Source organism: Homo sapiens, chromosome 11, assembly GCF_000001405.40.
Source record: "Homo sapiens chromosome 11, GRCh38.p14 Primary Assembly".
Taxonomy (NCBI): domain Eukaryota; kingdom Metazoa; phylum Chordata; class Mammalia; order Primates; family Hominidae; genus Homo; species Homo sapiens.
In genome coordinates this window covers 104901157-104924408 of record NC_000011.10, presented here as the reverse complement: position 1 = coordinate 104924408, position 23252 = coordinate 104901157, and the positions used below count along the sequence as shown (strand labels likewise).

General features: G+C 36.3%; 1 pseudogene across 2 annotated transcripts; it reads left to right on the top strand.

Annotated features, from left to right (window-relative positions):
- The first annotated feature begins 6233 nt into the window (after window positions 1-6233).
- Window positions 6234-22860, top strand: CASP4LP (caspase 4 like, pseudogene; annotated as a pseudogene). 2 transcript variants are annotated; one of them, NR_034079.1, is made up of 5 exons: window positions 6234-6296; window positions 15401-15574; window positions 18852-18961; window positions 20858-21018; window positions 22753-22860. The product of NR_034079.1 is annotated as a caspase 4 like, pseudogene, transcript variant 2 (transcript). The 2 variants fall into 2 exon arrangements; NR_034078.1 differs by having other exon boundaries at window positions 22750-22860.

The following is a 23252-nucleotide window of genomic DNA, read 5'->3' as shown; positions in this document are numbered from 1 at the left end:
GATTTTGTCACCACGAGGTCTGCCTTACAAGAGCTCCTAAAGGAAGCACTAAACATGGAAAGAAACAATCAGTATCAGCTACTGCAAAAACATGCCAAATTGTAAAGACCATTGATACTATGAAGCAACTGCATCAATTAATGGGCAAAATAGCCAGCTAACATCATAATGACAGGATCAAATTCACACATAACGATATTAACCTTAAATGTAAATGGGCTGAATGGCCCAATTAAAAGACACAGACTGGCAAATTGGATAAAGAGTCAAGACCCATCAGTGTGCTGTATTCAGGAGACCCATCTCATGTGCAGAGACACACATAGTCTCAAAATAAAGGAATGGAAGAAGATCTACCAAGCAAATGGAAAGCCAAAAAAAAAAAAAAAAAAAAAAAAAAAAAAGCAGGGTTTGCAATCCTAGTCTCTGATAAAACAGACTTTAAACAAACAAAGATCAAAAGAGACAAAGAAGGCCATTACATAATGGTAAAGGGATCAATTCAACAAGAAGAGTTAACTACTGTAAATATATATGCACCCAATACAGGAGCACCCAGATTCAAAAAGCAAGTCCTTAGAGACCTACAAAGAGACTTAGACTCCCACACAATAATAATGGGAGACTTTAACACCCCACTGTCAATATTAGACAGATCAACAAGACAGAAGGTTAACAAGGATATCCAGGACTTGAACTCAGCTCTACACCAAGTGGACCTAATAGACATCTATGGAACTCTCCACCCCAAATCAACAGAATATACATTCTTCTCAGTACTACGTCACACTTATTCTAAAATTGACCACATAATTGGAAGTAAAGCACTCCTCAGCAAATGTAAAAGAACAGAAATTGCAATAAACTGTCTCTCAGACCACAGTGTAATCAAAATAGATCTTAGGATTAAGAAGTTCACTCAAAACTGCACAACCACATAAAAACTGAAAACCTGCTCCTGAATGACTACTGGGTAAATAACTAAATGAAGGCAGAAATAAAGACACTCTTTGAAACCAATGAGAACAAAGACACAATGTACCAGAATCTCTGGGACACATTTAAAGCAGTGTATAGAGAGAAATTTATAGCACTAAATGCCCACAGAGAAAACAGGAAAGATCTAAAATCAACACACTAACATCACAATTAAAAGAACTAGAGAAGCAACAAATTCAAAAGCTAGCAGAAGGCAAGAAATAACTAAGATCAGAGCAGAACTGAAAGAGATAGAGACAGAAAAAAAACCTTCAAAAAATCACTGAATCCAGGATCTGGTTTTTTGAAAAGATCAACCAAATTGATAGACCACTAGCAAGACTAATAAAGAAGAAAGGAGAGAATAATCAAATAGACGCAATAAAAAATGATAAAGGGGATATCACCACCGATCCCACAGAAATACAAACTACCATCAGAGAATACTATAAACACCTCTATGCAAATAAACTAGAAAATCTAGAAGAAATGGATAAATTCCTGGACACATACACCCTCCCAAGACCAAACCAGGAAGAAGTTGAATCTCTGAATAGACCAATAACAGGTTCTGAAATTGAGGCAATAATTAATAGCCTACCAACCAAAAAAAGTCCAGGACCAGACAGATTCACAGCCGAATTCTACCAGAGGTACAAAGAGGAGCTGGTACTATTCCTTCTGAAAATTTCCAATCAATAGAAAAAGGGGGAATCCTCCCTACCTCATTTTATGAGGCCAGCATCATCCTAATACCAAAGCCTGGGAGAGACACAACAAAAAAAGATAATTTTAGACCAATATCCCTGATGTACATCGATGCGAAAATCCTCAGTAAAATACTGGCAAAACGAATCCAGCAGCACGTCAAAAAGCTTATCCACTATGTTCAATCGGCTTCATCCCTGGGATGCAAGGCTAGTTCAACACATGCAAATCAATAAACGTAATCCATCACATAAACAGAACTACTGACAGAAACCACATGATTATCTCAATAGATGCAGAAAAGGCCTTCAACAAAATTCAACACCCCTTCATGCTAAAAACTCTGAATAAACTAGGTATTGATAGAACACATCTCAAAATAATAAGAGCTGTTTATGACAAACCCACAGCCAATATCATACTGAATGGGCAAAAACTGGAAGCATTCCCTTTGAAAACTGGCACAAGACAGGGATGCCCTCTCTCACCACTACTATTCAACATAGTGTTGGAAGTTCTGGCCAGGGCAATCAGGCAAGAGAAGGAAATAAAGGTATTCAATTAGGAAAAGAGGAAGTCAAATTGTCTCTGTTTTCAGATGACATGATTGTATATTTAGAAACCTCATCGTCTCAGCCCAAAATCTCCTTAAGCTGATAAGCAACTTCAGCGAAGTCTCAGGATACAAAATCAATGTGCAAAAATCACAAGCATTCCTATACACCAATAAGAGACAAACAGAGAGCCAAATCATGAGTGAACTCCCATTCACAATTGCTACAAAGAGAATAAAATACCTAGGGATCCAACTTACAAGGGAAGTGAAGGACCTTCCTTCAAGTGAAGGAGCTGCTCAACGAAATAAAAGAGGACACAAACAAATGGAAGAACATTCCACGCTCATGGATAGGAAGAATCCATATCATGAAAATGGCCATACTGCCCAAGATAATTTATAGATTCAATGCAATCCCCATTAAACTACCAATGACTTTCTTCACGGAATTGGAAAAAACTACTTTAAAGTTCATATGGAACTAAAAAAGATTCCACATTGCCAAGAAAATCCTAAGCAAAAAGAACAAAGCTGGAGGCATCACGCTACCTGATTTCAAAGTATCCTACAAGGCTACAGTAACCAAAACAGCACGGTTCTGGTATCAAAACAGATATATACACCGATGGAACAGAACAGAGCCCTCAGAAATAATACCACACATCTATAACCATCTGATCTTTGACAAACCTGACAGAAACAAGAAATGGGGAAAGGATTCCCTATTTAATAAATGGTGCTGGGAAAACTGGCTAGCCATATGTAGAAAACTGAAACTGGATCTCTTCCTTACACCTTATACAAAAATTAATTCAAGATGGATTAAAGATTTAATGTTAGTCCTAAAACCATTAAAACCCTAGAAGAAAACCTAGGCAATACCATTCAGGACATAGTCAAGGGCAAGGACTTCATGACTAAAACACCAAAAGCAATAGCAATGAAAGCCGAAATAGACAAATGGGATCTAATTAAACTAAAGAGCTTCTGCATGGCAAAATAAACTACCATCAGAGTAAACAGGCAACCTATAGAATGGGAGAAAATTTTTGCAATCTACCCATCTGACAAAGGGCTAATATCCAGAATCTACAAAGAACTCAAACAAATTAACAAGGAAAAAAAAAACCCATCAAAAAGTGGGCTAAAGATATGAGCAGACACTTCTCAAAAGAAGCCGTTTATTGCAGCCAACAGACACAACATAAAATGCTTATCATCACTGATCATCAGAGAAATGCAAATCAAAACCCCTTTGAGATACCATCTCACACCAATTAGAATGGTGATCATTAAAACGTCAGGAAACAACAGATGCTGGAGAGTATGTGGAGAAATAGGAACACTTTTACACTGTTGGTGGGAGTGTAAATTAGTTCAACCATTGTGGAAGACAGTGTGGCGATTCCTCAAGGATCTAGAACTAGAAATACCATTTGACTCAGCAATCCCCTTACCAGGTGTATACCCAAAGGATTATGTATCATGTTACTGTAAAGACACATGCACACGTATGTTTATTGTGGCACTATTCACAATAGCAAAGACTTGGAACCAACCCAAATGTCCATCAATGATAGACTGGATTAAGAAAATGTTGCACGTATACACCATGGAATACTATGCAGCCATAAAAAATGATGGGTTCGTGGCCTTTGCAGGGACATGGATTAAGCTGGAAACCATCATTCTGAGCAAACTATCACAAGGACAGAAAACCAAACACCGTATGTTCTCACTTATAGGTGGCAACTGAACAATGAGAACACTTGCACACAGAGCAGGGAACATCACACACTGGGGCCTGTCAGGAGGTGGAGGGCTGGGGGAGGGATAGCATTAGGAGAAATACCTAATGTAAATGAAGAGTTGATGGGTGCAGCAAACCAACATGGCACATATATACCTATATATCAAGCCTGCACGTTGTGCACATGTACCCTAGAACTTAAAGTATAATAATAATAATAATAATAATAATAATAACAACAACAATAAATAACCATTTTCCTCTTTAAAAAAAAGAAAATGCTTATTGAAGAATTTCAGATTTCAGGTTTTTGGATTTGGGATGATCACCTGGTAATTATAATGTGGATATTCCAAAATTCAGAAAGTTCTGAAATCCAAAACACTTTTTGTTCTCAGCATTTTGGAATAGCAGTACTCTACCTGTAATATAATAAACAGTGAATACTGAAGGAATATTTTCCTTCTGATCAGTGCAGTGTACATTGCTCTTCTCTCAAAGTTCTGTTCTTAGTGCCCTCTTTCTGTGGGTCAGTTGATTATTTTTGAGGTGACCATAAGATTATGAATGCTCACTTTTAGGTGTTTCTCTCTAATTTCAGCAGGGGAATATTTACACACAGCGTGGACACTTTCCTTTTCAGAGTGTGTATATTACCACTGGTGGTGTGACTTTATAACTTGCATATCTTTTAGTGGGGCCATTTTTTAAATGTTTATTTTTTTCTCATAGGAAGTCAGGAATTCCCTCATTGTGCACCTGTTTTTAGAGTCATGTCTGTTAAAAAAACAAACATTTACTTAAGCATTCCATTAAGTCTGATATAAAAACAAAAGGGTGTCCTGTTTTTGTTGTTGTTTTTCACCCCATTGAAAAAACAGGAGCTGAATGTAGAAAAGGTTATGGATTTAGTCTTTAGACTTGACTCATAAGACCTGAACTGGCTAATAGCACCATTTTTTTTCTTTAATAAACCATTTTCTGGGCTTTCTCCTTTAGGAACACAGATATAAATTACAGCAGGTACCCGACTTCAAAGAATTTAGAACTTAGCAGGAGAGATGGGGAGAAGAAAGGCAGTTATGACAGTGACAGAATGGTGTGCAAAGGGGATCTTTTTTCCCAAATCCCAGAGCTTACTATTGAAAAATCCATGAACAAGATCTGCATATTTGTACCTTTAGCTAAGAGAATTGAGAAATACAAAGTAAATTTTGATTAACGCTTTCATCCCTAATAGCTCAGTCTCCTTGAGAAGGTATGACAGTCAACAAACATAAAAGTATTAGCAGACAGAACATACAACTATGAAGAAACACTACAGTGCACTGAATGCAAAATTATGCACCTGCATCACCTGCATTGTGCAAGGAAAAAGAGTTTAGGGTCAAATCAGTCACTCAGTGCTGTGAAGATTTTGAAGGACTGGAAGAACAACCAGTTGGGTTGTAATCATGAGCCTCTTCTAATCCTAAACTCAAAAAAGGTAAGATGAATTTCTGACCTCTTGAAAACTTTCAAAGTTCAACACCTCACTGTCTTTTACTTTCTCCTTTTACTAACTATTCTTCTGGGCATCTCTCTTTTGTACAATCACACATTAATTGTACTACAGCCTGAGACTGCTTCTACAATCAGCCTTTGTTCAGGGAATATCAAAAAGCAGAGGTAAACTTTCACTTTTGGTAAAAATTAAATATTATGGCCATATTAGGTAGCTAAAGGAAAGCATGCCATGGAGTAGAGAAGAGGGTTTCTTCAGCACTATTTCCACCAAAGGTTAAGACAACAATGAGACAGAAAAGCGAAGGCACCTTCAGGATCCAATAACACAGTTTAAACAGGAAATATAAACTATCTGGTTAATTCTTATGAGGAAATAAAAGGAGGCTTGTTAGATTAAACTCCTTCAGAATTTGTGTTTTTATGTGATTAGAGAAACAAAAACTGAGCGATCAAAAAGAGGAGACAGATGGATAGAAGAAGGTGTGGGGACTACAGAGCAGGAAAAGGAAAAGGAGGGAAAAAAACAGGCTGAAGTGTCAACGCACATAACAATGTTGGTCGTTTCCATTCTTTGTTTCTTCCCACGGGAAGAAACTAGAGTCCAGTACTTGGATGCCAATTTGCTGATGACAAGGAATTTCTTGACAATGAGCCTAGAATTTCTAAGCAGCAGTCTCTCAATCTGTGATTACATATTTCCATTCTTTGCAATAAGTACATACACAGTTTACTTTCATTTTTCAGTCTGAGCCTTTTTTCAGTGCTGTAAGAAAGGACGGAGGCTGTTATCTATGGCAGGTGAGTCCTCTTCTGAATAGGAGTTTGGGACTGGGATCTTAGAAAATACTTTATTTATTGCTGTGTAATGAACACAAAACATGAAATGGGCCAATAGAGTGCATGCTGAATCTTTTTTCTTACTGGTTGTGTGTAGTTTGAATCACGGGAGCTAGTATTAGACACTGAAGGAGAGAATATGTTCTCCAGATGTCTTCTAGCTAGAAAGAAGTTAATTCCCTGCTTTCAGCTTCTGGTAATCAAAGGGAGAGTGAAGAAAGCAGAGGAAGTTATTATTTGTGTGAGAAAATTCTAGAAGTTTCCAAATGCACTCTGAAATTTTCTCTGTTTTCTATTGTTTCCAAATTATTGCCCAGATTATAAACCTTTCTCCCAGAATCAGATATGAGAGCTTCTGAGTTGTCGTCACCCTCTTTGCCATCTCTTATTGTGAATTACATTCTTGGTCTGTTTAAAGTTATTCCATTTTTCTCCCTTTCTCTTTAGTCCTTGTACTGACTACGTTACTGCAATATTTCACTGGTTGCTATCACAGTTGTTTTATTTTGTTTTGTTGTTAATTGATCTCCCTCTCTCCAGGACTTAACCTTCCAATTCTTCCTGCACACAACTTTCAGGTCTCCTGTCTTATACATAGAAGCTGAAAAAGCCTAAGGGATAGAGTCATGAGCTATTTAGACAGATAGTATTCCAGCAGGTCATATCGCTTCTTTGGCTTCATTCTCCTCACTGAAAAATAAATGGGACTAGATCAGTGGATTCTAAACCTTATATCACAGTAATGTGTAGTCACATAAAAAAAATTAGATGACTACCCATTTCCTTACCCTGAATAGATCAATCTTAAATAGCCTGCAGACATTTATTAATTTCTGTATATCTGCAGATAATCCCTATAAAGCTGATCTGGAATAGGTTTTTCTGCAGATTAGTATTATTAGGAAAGTCAGTCAGTTAGTTACCTGTCTCTGCTTACCTGCTAGTGATCTATTAATGTAATTCTTTTTGCTCAGGAACATATGGTTGCTCCCTATTGCGTTTTTAAAAATATGATTTTTCAGTCAAGTTTTTCTACCTTTTGAAATATGTGTATCCATTTTTTTCCATTAATCCCTGTAAAGTATGATTTCAGCTTCATAAAACAATTACTGTATTTACTTCACTCCTACTTCCTCGTCGTTGAGTTTATTTTCTCCTTTGATTCTCCCTGTAGTATAATTCTCTCTGGGGTTTATGTTTCACCTCACAATATTTAACTTAAGCTCCCAAAATATAGAGGTTGGTGGTTTTCTTCACTTGTCTTCTTCATGAAACTAATAAAGCATTTGGCTAGGCATCAGTTAGTCAAATTCATAAACATGGCTACCTCTTCAGCCAAGCAGGCTGATGTTACAGGTCATTGGATTTGAATCAAGGCATTAAAAAATAGACAGTAGAAATTGAAAGCCAGTAGTCAAAAACAAGTTGTGGTTTGATAATTATAAACAACCAACTTTAGTCAGCTATTGTTAACTAAAACTTCTGAGGAAGAGTATCCTTTAAAGTGTTTAAGCATTACATCACTGCCTGGAATCAAAACTGTGGTGCTGGTGAGTTGTTTCCTCTAATTGATTCTCTCCATTTTTACTATCACTGCAGCTTTCATTCAGTGATTATTACAATAACAAAAAAATACATATAATAATGGTTTCTTTAAAAAATACTTACCATATGACAGCTATTTCATGCAGTCTCTCTGATTTAATATTTTAAACCAAGCAATACAGTTGTGCTATTATTGCCATATTATAGTTGAAGGGGATTCTGAGAGAATGCCTTCAGAGCATGCTTTAGGTCAAAAGTCAGTTGAGAGGAGTGATCTCAGGTCGGCATGACTCTCAAACTCTGCCACTACTCTAATTTTCTGAAAATATCCGCTGAGGTTGTGGGGTGATGCTGAGGTTGTGAAAATATCTTCAAATACCTGCCCTGTCTCTGATCACTGCCACTTCAGCCTCGGATGCACACTTCTTTTCCTTCTAAAGCCAAGCTCTCCTAACTTTCTGGTTACATCAGACACCCTCAAGCCTTTTTGCTTCTTCTCACACTGCTCCTTGACAGGAGACCAGCCGCCAGTTGTCCAAGGGGCAAATTCCTACCAGTTCTTCAGGTCTCAGTGCCAAGCCATCCCTCATCTGGACAGCTATCGTCTACCTGAGACACACTTTGCTTATGCTTTTCTTGAGCATCTGCTCAATATTTAAATTCTTAAAAGGTGTTTCATTATACTTATTTGCATGTCAATCTTTCCTCTTGACTGTAAGCATGTTTCCAAAATGGTACTCCCAATACTAGCAGTTTCAAGAGCTGCTGCTCCTTAAATAATCCTGAATGAATAGGAGAATGAATATGACTTCCCTCTGCTTGAAACTTCCAATGTGCACTTTTTGTCTGTTAAATGTAATTGAACTTACCTGGTTTGCTGTTAATAGAAAACAGTATTCCACAAGGGTTGAGCCACACCTAATTTTTTTTTTTCATTTCTTCCTACATTCGCTTGACTGGTGATTTAGAATATAATTAATAAATATCCCTCGAATGCCAAAATTAGCACAGGCATAGATCATGGTCCCTGTCCTCACAGAGCATAAAATCTAGTAGTGAATACTGAAAAGTAGGCTGGGAATCACAAATAAAGGGAAAAAGATATGCTATCCTAAGGAGAAGCAACATGCCCTGTGGGCATGTGACTCTGACACTGTCTCTCCTCAGAAAATCAGACAGGATTCCATGAAAAAAGTGCTGTCTAATCTGAGACTTGAAGGATACACAGACAGTAGTAGACAAACAAGAAGGAATGAGAAGGTGGGGTCTAGAAATACAGAGATCCCAATGTAGAGGATTTCTAGAAATTAAATGAAGGGCAGAGTGTTTTGAATATAAGGCACAAGGTCAGAACAGTATCAGAAGATGAGGGTGAATGAGTAGGCCTAGATTAGAATGAGCTGAGAGGTTTCATGGTCAAATATAGATATTGGAACACTCTTCATTGTGAAGAATAGAATAGAAAGGAAAATCAGTTTACAAGGTTCTTATCAACTTATTTATTAAGAAAGAAAGGATGTTGGCCTGGATAGAAGTAATGAACAATTAGAATTGAGGGAAGTGGTCAGAATCTGAAAATGTTTAGCAAATAAAATCAATGCAATGTGAATTGAGACTGGAAATAAGACATAAGGAAGGCTGAAGAGGTTTAATATCAGCAGGATTTGCTGCTTTCTTGTAGTTGGAGTATAGGCATTTACCAGTAAATGGAAAAGGGAATGAATGCTGGAAATGAATAAATGAGCAGTTCATCTGTAAAAGTTGAGTTGAATGAGGTTGTGGGATATAGTTAAGAGATGTCTTATTGTCTATCACATGTATGGGTTTCAATAGCGAGATCTACATCTAGGTCCAATCTATAAATTTGAGAGTGATTTATTTATTATTTTAAACTTATAATTGATGGCATGAGAATGTATAGATTATAAAATGAGGATCTCAGACCACATTTTTTTAAAATTATAAGTTCTTTATGTTTTTGACAAATGAAGAGTATATATATTTTCCATGTATAACATAATGTTTTGCAGTATGTATATATTCTGGAATGCCTGAATTCATCTAATCAGCATATGGATTATCTCATATGTTTATCTTTTTGTGATTAGAACACTTAAATTTTACTCTCTTAAATAATTGTCAAGAATACAATACATTGTTATTAACTTAAGTCACCCTGTTGCACAATATATCTCTTTAACTTATTCTTCTTATCTAATTGAAATTTTGTTTAATTTTACCTACATCTCCCAAACTCCCTACCTTCCCCTGGTACCCACCATTCTACCTTCTGCTTTTACAAGTTTAACTTTTTTAGATTCTACATTCGAGTGAGATCATGTGGTGTTTGTCTTTTGCTGCCTGGTCTGGCTTATTTCACTTAACATAATGTCCGTCATGTGCATCAATACTGTCAGAAATGACAGGATTTAGTTCCTTTTAAAAGCTGAATAATGTTGCATTGTGTATATAAACCACATTTTCTTTATCTGTTCGTCCATCTACAGACACTTAGATTGATTTTGGATCTTGGCTATTGTGAATAATGCTGCAATGAAAATAGAAGTTCAGATATCTCTTTGAAACACGGATTTCCATTTTTTTTAATACCTGCTTAATAGTGGGATTGCTGGATCATATGTTTAGCTCTATTTTTAACTTCCTGAGGAGTCTCCGTATAGTTTTCCATAATGACCATGCTAAATTGCATTTTACCAACAGTGTATAAGGGTTTATTTTATCCATAACCTCTCCAACATTTGTTATCTTTTGTCTTTTTGATAGTAGCCATTCTAAAAGGTGTGAAGTGATATCACATTGTGGTTTCAATTTTCCTGGTGATTACAGAGGCTGATCATTTTTCATATACATATTGTTTCTATATCTTCTTCTGAAAAATGGCTCTTCTGGTCCTTTATTTTTAAATCAGTTTGTTTTCTATTAATTGTTTGTGTTCCTTATATTTTCCATATTAACTCCTTATCAGATGCATGGTTTGCAAATAATTTCCCAATTCTGTTGATATCTCTTTAATCTTTTGATGTTTCTTTGGCTGCGTAAAAGCTTTTTAGTTTGGGCCGGACACAGCGGCTCACACCTGTAATCCCAGCACTTTGGGAGGCTGAGGCTGGCGGATCATCTGAGGTTCAAGACTAGTCTGGCCAACATGGTGAAACCCCGTCTCTACTAAAAATACAAAAATTAGCCAGGCAAGGTGGCAGGCGCCTGTAGTCTCATATGCTTCAGAGGCTGAGGCAAGAGAATCGCTTGAACCCTGGACATGGAGGTTGCAGTGAGCCGAGACTGTGCTACTGCACTCCAGCCTGGGTGACAGAGCAAGACACTGTATCAAAAAAACAAAAAACAAAACAAAACAAAACAAAAAAACTTTTTTTAGTTTGATGTAATTTAATTTCATTTGTGTATTTTAGCTTTTGCTTCCTGTACTTCTGCATCATATCCAGAAATCATTGTCTAGACTAACGTCATGAAGCTATTCTCCTCTGTTTTCTTCTAATAGTTTCAATTCTTACATTTACATAGTTAACCCATTTTAAGTTTATTTTTGTGTATGGTGAGACATAAGCATCCAATTTCATTCTTTTGTATGTGGTTATCCAATTTTCCCAATATCACTTATTGAAGAGTTTGTCCTTTCCTCATTGTGTGTTTATGAAACCTTTGTAGAAAAGTCTAAATGAATGTAAATAATTGGGTTTATTTTTGGGCTTGCTGTCCTGTTCCATTGCTGTCTATGTCTGTTTCTATGCCACTCTTGTGCTATTTTACTTACTGTAGCTTTGTACTATATATATATATATATATTTTTTTTTTAAGTCAGGTAGTTGATGTCTGCAGCTTTCTTCCCTTTACTCAAGATTGCTTTGTCTATTCATGGTTTTTTGTGATTTCATATAAATTTTAGGATTTGTTTTTATTTTTATAACAAGTGCCACTGTAATTTTGATAGGGATTGCATTATATATTTAGATTTCTTTGGGTATTAGGGACTTGTTAATAATGGTAATTTTTGCAGTACATCAACTCAAAATATCTATTTATTTGTGTCTTCTTCAATTTCTTCTATCAATGTTTTATAGTTTTGGGGTTTTTGTTATTGTTGTTAATTTTGAGACAGGGTATTTTTCTGTAGCCAAGGCTAGAGTGCAGTGTCACAATTATAGCTCACTGTAACCTCAAACTCCTGGGCTTAAGCAATCCTCCCACATCAGACTTCCAAGTAGCAAGGACTATAGACACCTGCTACCATGCCCAGCCAATTTTTTAAATTCTTTTGTAGAGACAGAGTCTTACTATGTTGATAACTTTCGAGTTTTATATTTTTAAGTGCGCATGTTTTTCACCCACGTTGTTAAATGTATTTCTAATTATTTTTGTAGCTATTTTAAATGGAAGTTCTTATATTTTTTAAAGATAGTTTATTGTTATATAGAAACACTACAGATTTTTATATGTTGATTTTGTATTCTTCAATTTTACTGAATTTGTTTATTTGTTCTAAAAAATTTTTGGTGGAGCCTTTAAGGTTTTCTCTATATAAAACCATTTCTTTTTAAACAGGCAGAATTAAACCTCTTCCTTTCCAATTTTGATGCCTTTTATTTCTTTTTGTTGTCGAATTGCTTTGGCTAGGACTAGCAGTACTATGTTGAATAGAAGTGGTTAACATGAGTATCTTTGTCTTCTTCCTGATGTTGGAGAAAAGATTTTCAACTTTTCACCTTTGAGTATGATGTTAGCTGTGTGTTTGCTACATGTGGCATTTGTTGTGCTGTAAACTCTTCCATATTTTTAATTATCATATTTCTTCACATATCATTCTTTCAATCAACACTATATTAGTTTACTGAGCACACAAATAAATAGAACAGAAACCCAGAACTCAGGCAGATTGGATATCCCACAAACTAATCTGCTTACTGTTTGCAAATCTTCATATTTTGTTCCAACATCTGTACCTGATATTGCAAAACCAATATTTTTGCTACCTCTTCTAAGAAGCCTTTGTGATCTTACCTGTGGGAATGTATTAATCTTTTCTGAGCCCCTTGAATATCTTGTCTGCATTCTCTTAAGAAGCTCTTCACCAACAGTCAGGCAATGTAGCTTGATGAATTAAGAATGGGAGCTCTGGATTCTCAACCCCTACATTACAATTCTTGTTCCGCATATACTATATATTCTTAGTTCTTTTCATGTTATTTGAATCAATTACTTACTACCTTCCCATTTCCATGTAAGATAAGTTAATATACATTTCAAATGAATTTTTTTGTGAAATTTCAGTAATGCACTGGGCATGATGGAGGCTCAAATATATTAATTATTTCAACTGAAGCCATGTCATGTTTAACAATATAGAATATGGTGAAAAAAACAAGATGTGAATCCTAATGTGTTATATAAAGAAAATTGTTAAGTTAAATATAATATATAAATATATAATATGTATTAGATATAATGTGATATGTTATAATATATTATTGATAAAATATTATATATCATAACAATACAATATATAATATATATAATAACATAATAAATATACTATAGGGAATGTAATAACCATCCCAATGGCTGATTGTGAGGGTCTACTATATTAACATTTATAAAATCATTGGTACAGTGACTTGCAAATAATAATGATAATGATGATTTATATTGCATTATATGCATTCATTTTTTATTTATAATAAGTGGGTGGGACATATAACCTTTTATTAAGTTAGTTTATATTAGGTAACTTTTTGGACACACCATTATGGTTACAAGGCAGCATTTTTCCATTAAATAGTTGGCTTTACAATTTGCATAGGGATAATAGAAGTTCACTTCTTTTAGAATCATTAAAAATTTAGAGTAAGGTTGTTGAAAATATAATTCCTGGAATGTACAAGATTCAATATTCTTTGGATTGGTAGATATATGGATCGGCAGGTGTAGTGGGGGTTAGGAGGGGACTATTAATCCAAAACGGAATGCTGTCCATCCTGTATGGTAGCCACTCGCAACATGTAGCTATGAAGCACTTGGCTTGTGGCTAATGAAACATGTTGAAATAATACCTCCTATATGTTATATTAAATAAATATGTAATAAAAATTAAATTTATTTGTTTAGTTTTCCTTTTTAAATGCGATAGTAAAAAATTGAGTATTGGAAATGGAACACACATTAAATTTGTAGTAGATAGCGCTCTGACAACTACTTACTCAGTATACTCTTGCACAGACACAATAGAAAGTCCACATGAATAAATGAGTAAAACCTTTATCCTAGAGTAAAACATTTGGAAAAATCAAATTCTTTTGACTGTATAAGGAAAGGCCAAATTTAACACCAACATCGTCAAAATATTTTTCCCAGAATGATCAGAATCTATGATTGCATTTTTGGGTGGATCTGCTTTTCTCTCTTTTCCAGTAACAATGCATCTCCCGATATAGAATATCTCCTAGATATGAGATATAACTATAACCCCTACATGTGACGAAATCTTCTTCCCAGGACATCTTCTCTCTCGATCTTCTTAGGTGATAAATTGGGTCACAGAAGCAGAAATCACAACTTATATTATGTAATATTCTCCACCTCATTCGAATATGGAGGTTGGACCACCTGAGGCAAGAGAATCTACAGATGCCCTCAAGCTTTGCCCTCATGAATAACTCCTGAGACTATGTAAAGAAAGAGCTGAAAAGGTGTTATACTGTCTGCATGAAACAGAAAAAAAGAAGAGAAATCGTTGCTTTCATTAAGTGCACCATTTTTTACAGCACTAAATGATTGGGGGTGGGGATGGCAGTAACTATTTCATGAATGTTTTCAGCGAGGAAAAGATTATGTGACTTCACACAGACACCAATTCTCTCTCAACCCATGATCTAGATCATTTTATCATGGGTTGAAAGAGAATTGGTTTTCCTATGGCTCAAGTATTTATTTTTGTAATCATTTGGAATTTATGACAATTGTAACTTTAGCCATGGAATAAAAATGTTTATAAGATAATACAGCTGAGTAGTAACTGTTTGCACTCTAGTTGAAAAGTCTAGACATGAAGGATACTTGAAAATATAATTAAGGCTTGAAAAACATTACAAGTTGATGTGTTAAAAATGGTATCAAAATAACTATGCTTCCAAAGGCAAAGACCTTTGCTATATTCATTTTTTACTGGAGCCAATGACCACATCTCTTGATTTTAATGAAATTTGACCCGAATCTTAAATACTAGGAAAGATTTGCGTAGGTGTAGAAAAAAAGGGATGAGAAAAGGGGTAGCCATTATTTTAGTTTCCTCAAGAGTATTGAATAACCATTCCAGATATGTCGTTGTCTTTCTCTGGGTTCTTGAGAAAGAAGAAGTCAATGTCTTTTGATACAAGTTACAGCAGAGAGCAGCTGCATGAAGACTTAAAAAAGCAACATTGATAGGCATAAGGGGGTAGAAAAGAAACCTGAATAAATTAAATTCACTGCATCTCCACCTCCTGCAGATCTATCCAATAAAGGAGAGAAAGGACCGCATACGCCTGGTTCTCATCATATGCAATAAAGAGTTTGACCATCTGCCTCCAAGAAATGGGGCTGACTTTGCCATCATGGAGATGAAGAAGCTGCTTGAGGATCTGGGTTACAGTGTGGATGTAGAAGAGAATCTGACAGCCAGGGTAACAACCCCTCAGCCACCCCAAACTCATACATATTGAACACGCATCCTTCTAATAACTAGTTAGCTTTATAGAAGCTCAACAAAGTTTAACAATCTCTGCTACCTTGTGTGTGTGTGTGTGTGTGTGTGTGTGTGTGTGTGTGTGATGCAAAAAATGAAAGCATTAGATTGGTAAATTTATGTCTCTTTTTTGCTCCAAATGTCCTCAATTCCATAAAACTAGACAAAATATGATTGGCACGAGTTTTCACATTTCTGATTGAGATTCAAAGTCTGGTGATTGGGATGCAGCCCCAAGATTCTCCATAAAATTATATAGTAATAAGTGTTAAACAGGAGTACAGTCTTAAAACAAATATTGAGTACTAAATTGGTGACCAAAGCTATTCCTAGCATTGGGAGTAGGTCTGTAAATGAGACAGGAAGTTCCCAGTCGGCATCCATCTAGGTTACAGTAGAGAGAAACAGTGAAGTTATAAGCAAAACGGACAGCTTCAGAGAACAGGTGTGCATATATGTGTGTCTACATAAGAGTGACAAGAAAGCCAAGAGTAAGAAAAAAGAAAAAGGAAACATGACAGAGAATTGTAGGGTAAGGAAAAATGTTCTTGGGTTGGCTGAAAAAGCCTCCGTGGGGAGATAACACAGGGGTTGGACTGGACTACCAGAAGGAGACAACCTTGGAGAGACATGAATGCAGTGCCTTCAAAGTACGAGAAGCTACCTGTGAAAGAGCTGAGCTGAAAATGAAACTGGCACATGAGAAGCACAAAGAGAAGACCAGTATGACTCAAGTTTGGAGGAGAAGGGACATAGTATGTGGGTGGAGTATGGTCAGACCAGAAGTTTGATTTGATTCTAAGCAAACTGGGATGGGTTTTACAAAGAAAGTGGTGTGATGCATTTATAACACATGACTCTTGGTAGGTAAGGAGAAAGATTGAGATGGAAAAGAAAAAGGGAAATGAGTAACATATAAAAATATACAATATATAAAGAAGACGGTGTGTCAGCCAGAGAAGAAAATGGCAACCCATAGCCCCATTAAGAAGGAAATATGAAACCATAAAACAGCTGTCATCACTGAGTAAGCACTATGTGAAGCGCCATGACCCAGATGTTACATATGTTTCTTGTTTCGCTCATGGTAAATCTAGGAGGCCCCATTAATTGTGATGCTTCTCCGACTAAAGTTAGACATTGCTCTTTTCCAGAATATGAAGTCATTGCTGTGGGCATTTGCTGCCTGACCAGAGCACAAGTCCTCCGACAGCACGTTCTTGGTGCTCATGTCTCATGGCATCCTGGGGGGAATGTGTGGAACTGAACATGATGAGGCAAACCCAGATGGGCTGCTTTCCTTCAGGCCAAAGCTGAAGGAACACTTGAAGCCAGGATTTTGAGACCAATTGATTCATAGCTCTTGGGAGCTATTTTTCAAATGAAAGAGAAAACAGAAATAATTTTTCTAAAAACTGGTAACTACAAGATGATTTCATTATCACTAGGCACACTGTTGAATGACACTTGAGAGAAAACAAAGTGGTATGTATGTGTGTGTGTGTGTGTGTTTGTGTGTGTGTGTCTGTGTGTTTGTATGTGTATGGGTCTATGTGTATGAAACTAGTTAGAAAGAACATTAAAAAAGAACAAGGGGATTCTGATAGCCATACTGTAGGAGGCACAGTAGTGTGTAGAAAATTGTTGTCTCTGCAGCAAACCATGGGGAACAGTGGGTCAGAGACTGTCCAGCATCTTTGGGAGTCATGTCTTCACAGTCACCTAAGAACCTGGAGGATGCAGTTTGCAAGACATACCAGAGAAGGACTTCATTGTTTTCTGCTCTTCAACCTCATGTATACGTCTTTTGGTGGTATTAAGTGATTTGTGGGCCTGAGGCTACCTTTGAATGATTCTACCAAATCAAGAATCCCTAAGAAACAATGATCCGAGGGAATGTTGTGTGCTCTCCCATATTTTACATGATCTTAGATGTGATGTGAAAACAGATTCCTTCCCCCTCCCACACCCACGTTTTTAAAAATTGTACTTTTCTTATAAGTGTTACAATTTAAAGCCAAAGGCATACCAAATATTAAAGCAACACAACATAAGGAATCCCATTCACCACACACCATTTAAACACAAATGATGGATTCTGTTATTTATCAAACCCATTTAATGTTTTGTGTAGTGTTTTCATGGATTCCAGGAATGGCTTCCCTTTCTCAAATGATCAATTTCAAGTCTTATTCTCCATATTTCCCATCTGATTCCACTATGAGCAGTGCCATTGCATGCCCTACTAGAACTGTGGATACCCTTTAAAACAAGTAGAAGATGATAGGGTGGGACTCATTACGTCTAATCTTGGGGAACACTGGTTAGTATTTCACTTCTAGGTAATTATCTTAAGGAGTATACATTTAACCATTTTTAATTTGTATATTTTTAAGTCTTATTTTTTAAAACCAGTTTACTGAGGTATGATTGACATATATAATGTTACATATATAATGTATACAACTTAATGAGTTACAGATAAGTATGCACTCCTGAAATCGTCACCACAATCTGTGCCACAAATATATCTCTCTCCTCCAAAAGATCCTTCCACTTCTCTGTTTATTATTATAATTCCACGAGTGCATGTGAAAATAACACTTAACATAAAATCTACCCTCTTAGCATATTTTAAGTTTACAATACAGTATTGGTTACTATTGGCACCATCCTGTACAGTAGATTTTTATCACTTTTTTCATCTTCTATCACTGAAACTTGGTGTGTGTTCATCTATTTTGTTTATTATATGGTGAAAGACAGCATGGCATAATCTGCAAACAACTTGGGAGCCTAGTGGCCATTTTTTGTTGCTTACTCACTGTGGTAATATGAGGGAGTTTCTTCATCTTTTGGAGCCTCTATTCCTTCCTCTGTAAAGTGGGATAATTCCAGTTATTTCTCAAGCCCCTATAAAAGCCAAGAGAATAAACACAATGTTTGTAGTAGAAAGTCAGTCCCAAGAATCAAAATACAATCACTACACAATCTCTTGCAATGCTTACAAACTGCACCTTTTGATCAACTGTTGCTAGGTTTTTTGTTGACTTTATGCGGAAAGTGGTTAAATGTAAGGTTGTAAACATGTCGTCTAAATCTGTAAAGATAATTCCCAAGCTATGCTTTTATTAAAAAAAAATCCTCAAAACAAAAATGTAAACAAAAAATAGTGAAGGTCATAGCCCAAGGCATACCCATCTGTATCATCATAGATAACGTGTCCAGGAGAGACAGCACAAGGGGCTCCATCTTCATCACACAACTCATCGCATGCTTCCAGAGATATTCCTGGCGCTGCCACCTAGAGGAAGTATTTTGGAAGGTCAGTGTCTCTTTCTTTTCTAGTCATTCACTCATTTGTTCAAGAAGAATTTGTCATGATTCACCTTTCACTTCGCAATTACAATCTTTGTCAGTCAAGTGAAGGTTGAGAGATACCTAGTTTCTGTCATTCAAGTGTTTAAAATATGCTTTAGGGAAAAACAGTTCCAGGAGATCAAAGTAAAACAAAATAATGTCAACCATAATCTTTACGTATTAGGCTATAAGTTCTTAAGTTTTAGAGAATGAAAAATATTTTGAAATAATTTTTATTACTTCATTTATGAAATGAATAAAAACTGGGTGGTCTACTAGGTCATTGGGTCCATCCTGGTGACAGAGGGGTACATGAGGCATGCATGCCGTTAGCCTATCTAGGACTCACATTTTCGTGGGAGATACAGATACTGAAAATGTGGGTTAATCAACAAATAAGTGTTTACAGACTGTGATACGATCCATAAAGGAATGTGAGAGGGAATAAAGAAGTCGATCTTTCAATGGAGAATTGCAGAAGGAAAGGCTTGCTCCTCCTTGCCCAATTTGGGACATTCCTTATTCCCACTTCTTCCTATGTTATTTTTCTCCATAGTTCTTACCTTCCTGCACTCGGCATATATTAATAGTTTACGTATTTGTCTGTTATTTTACCCATATTTACTTTCTAACATGAAAACTTCAGGATGATGGGGATTTGCTCAGCACCCCAACAAACCTGGCATACAGTAAATATTCAATTAATCTTTGAATAAATAGATGCATAAATGAATAAAGAGAGAATCTATTCTATTTAATCTAAATATATTCTATTTTTTAAAGAGAAAACAGGATTGGTATTAACACAGTATAGTGTGGTTGTTTATAAAGTAAAACCTGTAGAGAACAGTATGACTCCTGTGGGAAAAGAAGAATACACCTTTATTCTGGCATTTAAAGAAGAAAGCCATCCAGGACTGGCGCCGCGGCTCATACCTGCAACCCCAGCAGTTTGAGAGGCCGAAGAGGGCCAATTGCTTGAGTCCAGGAATTTGAGACCAGCCTGGGCAACATGGAGATACCCCGTCTCTACATAAAATACAAAATTTTGGTGGGCGTGATGGCAGGTGCCTGTAATCCCAGCTATTTGGGAGCTAAGGTGAGAGGATTGCTTTAGCAATGGAAGACAAGGTTGCAGTGAGTGGAGATCATGCCACTGCACTCCAGGGCAGGTGACAGAATGAGACCCTATCTCAAAAAATAAAAAAAGAAAAAAGAAGGAGTATGAGAAGATTGCAGCATAAATTGAGACAGAGTTTCTGTGAATAGAGACCTAAGAAGATAATTTTTTTAGGATAATTAGGAATTAGACATTGTACTTTCAAGGGTATTCTTAGAAAAAAGAGCTAAAAATTCTGGATTTAGGGTAAGTAGCATCTCAGCATCTCATCAATTGGTTCATCCAAAAGACTACAAGATCAGCTTGGTGGTGAAGTGAAAGTTGTTCAGTGTTCAAGTCTCAAAGTTAAGGTAATGAGACTTAATTCTCATTCAGTGGAGGAATCAGTCTTGGTGGGAGTTGTAAGTATAGAGCCATTCCCTATCCTGGTCTCATGAACAATTTCCAAGGGATAACTGATTGTCTGATCTGTAGGTCAGAAATGGAAAACAGAGGAAATGAATGTTGAAAGGCTTTGGATTAGACATGAGGTATTTATCTTGATGTAAAGGGTACAGTCTGACATGGAGTGTCAATTCTAAGAGGTAGTGTACAACGTTGAGAAGACAGAATACCCATGGGCTTGGTCCTATGAAACCTGCAAACTCTCTTCATTCCAGGACTTTCCTGGTTCATGGTGGAAGATGCTTTCTGAGACTTGAAAAGAGTCGTATCTCATCTATAGCCTACTTTCTTTTTCAGGTTCAGCAAGCATTTGAAAGTCCGGAGGCAACAGTCCAAATGCCCACCATAGAACGAGTGTCCATGACAAGATATTTCTACCTCTTTCCTGGCAATTGAAAATGGTTAAGCATTGAGAGTTGTTGGTGGTGTATGAAATAAATGAAAGTGTGATATTGGAGGTGAGTTCCGATGACCAATGACAGTTGAGTACTTGGATGGCCAAATTAGTGTACTTTGTTGATGTAGTCTGGTGATTGATTATCTGTTATCTTTTATTCGATTTTTTTTGCATTTGGGTTCCCCCAACTCTATAATTAATCAGGCAATCAATCAATCAAGGACGTAAGGAAAACCAAGGCCAAATGAGATAATAAAAAACCCAGGGTAGCACTTATTAAAATAGAAACATACTCCTGCATCCATTACTATTTATATTCATTTACATCTCATACTCTACCTTTTTCTCTCCTTTTCTTACACACACACACACACACACACACAAACACATACTGAGTTACCAAACATTGCATCAATCTGAACAAAAATGAGAAAACAGAGGCACTAACTCTGCAGAAAGCAGTACTTTGATTTTCTGAGTGAGGATTTCACAGCAAATACCACATTACTGGTGTTCAGGTACCCTTATCAGACAGTAGAAAATAAACCCTACAGTGTAGAGTTTGTGTTGATCCAGTCTCTCGTTCTCAGAATGTTCTCATAATGCAGATCACAAATCACTGAGAGACTGTTTTCAGACCCTCAACCCTTTCCAGAAGTTCCTTCAAGCTCTCGTGTTAATAGATATACTTTTATTTTCGTTCTTTTGATAAAAATGTTATAGATTGGGTACATTCAATCTGGACCAAATGACTACATTCTTCACTCATAGCATCTTCATTTAACGCTATATTATAATCCTATTATTAATCTCCATCTCAGATACATAATTAAAATTATATTCTATACTCAACTGTGTAAAGGTTATCTCAATACTTCCAATATTTGCCACATCATCTTTTACTCTTGGTTTCTGACACTACACTCCAGTCACAATATTGTATCATTTCAGCATAACAGCTTTCAGTGCCTAATCCATCCAATGGGGCTATATTTGGGCATTGAGTTGTTTGTTTGACTAACATTTGCAACATTAACCATGCACCAGGTTCTGTTCTAATTGGAGTATGCCAATTAACAAAGTAGATAGATTCCTTACACTCAGAAAGTTTATATACTAGTGAGGAGAAGCATTCTCTGAATACACAAATAGGTAAATATATCACAAGCCGAAACACAAAAAATAAAATAAAATAAAAGGCTAAGAGGAAAAATAAATGATGATAAAGGAACACACAAAATGATGGATGCTGTACTCCTATAGATATTTCACTCAGGAAAGACTTCCTTGAAATAATGAAATGAGAACAAAGAATGGACAGAGTTGGAAAGTGAACCATATGGTTCTTATGCAGGAAAAGTGTCCCAGCACAGAATACAGCCAGTGCAAATGCCCTGGGATAGCAATGCACTAAACATGTTTAAAGAACTGCAATGAGACAGTGTGACCAAAAGAGAACATGAGTGGGGAAAATGGCAGAGACAAATTAGGAGAAGCAGTGGGAAGCCAGATCTCATGGTTCTTGGTTATCACATGGTAAACCTTTAAAAATTACTGTCTCACTGAGACAAGAAGCCTTTCTAGTGCTTTAGAAAAGAGAAGTAACATAATTTTACTTAGGTTTTAGGTTTTACAAAGATCACATTTCAGTGAAAAGATTAACAGATCACAGATGGAAGTCAAGGGAAGTGTCAAGAGCAAATGGAAGAGGATGGAAGAAGAATCATGATGAGGGATGGGATGAAGGCAGCAAGGGGTAACCATCTTGACCTTCTGTTCTTTCTCTCCCCAGCAGGAAACCACAAGCAGCCCAGCCCTCCTTTATCAACTTCAAGAAACACCTTTACTAGTACAGATTGAATGCTTAACATTTTGTATTTCAATAAAGGTGAAGACAAATGAACTGTGTCTTTTTCTTTTTTTAATAGAGAATATAATTTCACTGAAAATGGTGGGTGAGTCTAAATGAAGTGGAAGAAGCTAACTGGATTTTTGATCTTTATACCTCATGTAATATCTGATGAAGAAAACTGACTGTGACTTAGCCCCAACAATAGGATGAAAGAAGATGATGCCGAAAACTATAGTGACGTAGTGCGCCTCATACCCATTAGAATGATTCCCATCAAAACAAACAAACAAACAAACAGAAAATAACAAGTGTTTGCAGGGATGTAGAATAATTAGAACCCTGTGATCTGTCGTTGAGAATTTCAATTGGTACAGCTACTGAGGAAAGCTGCATGAAAGTTCTGCACAAATTAGAAGTGGAGTTACCATATGATCCAGAAATTC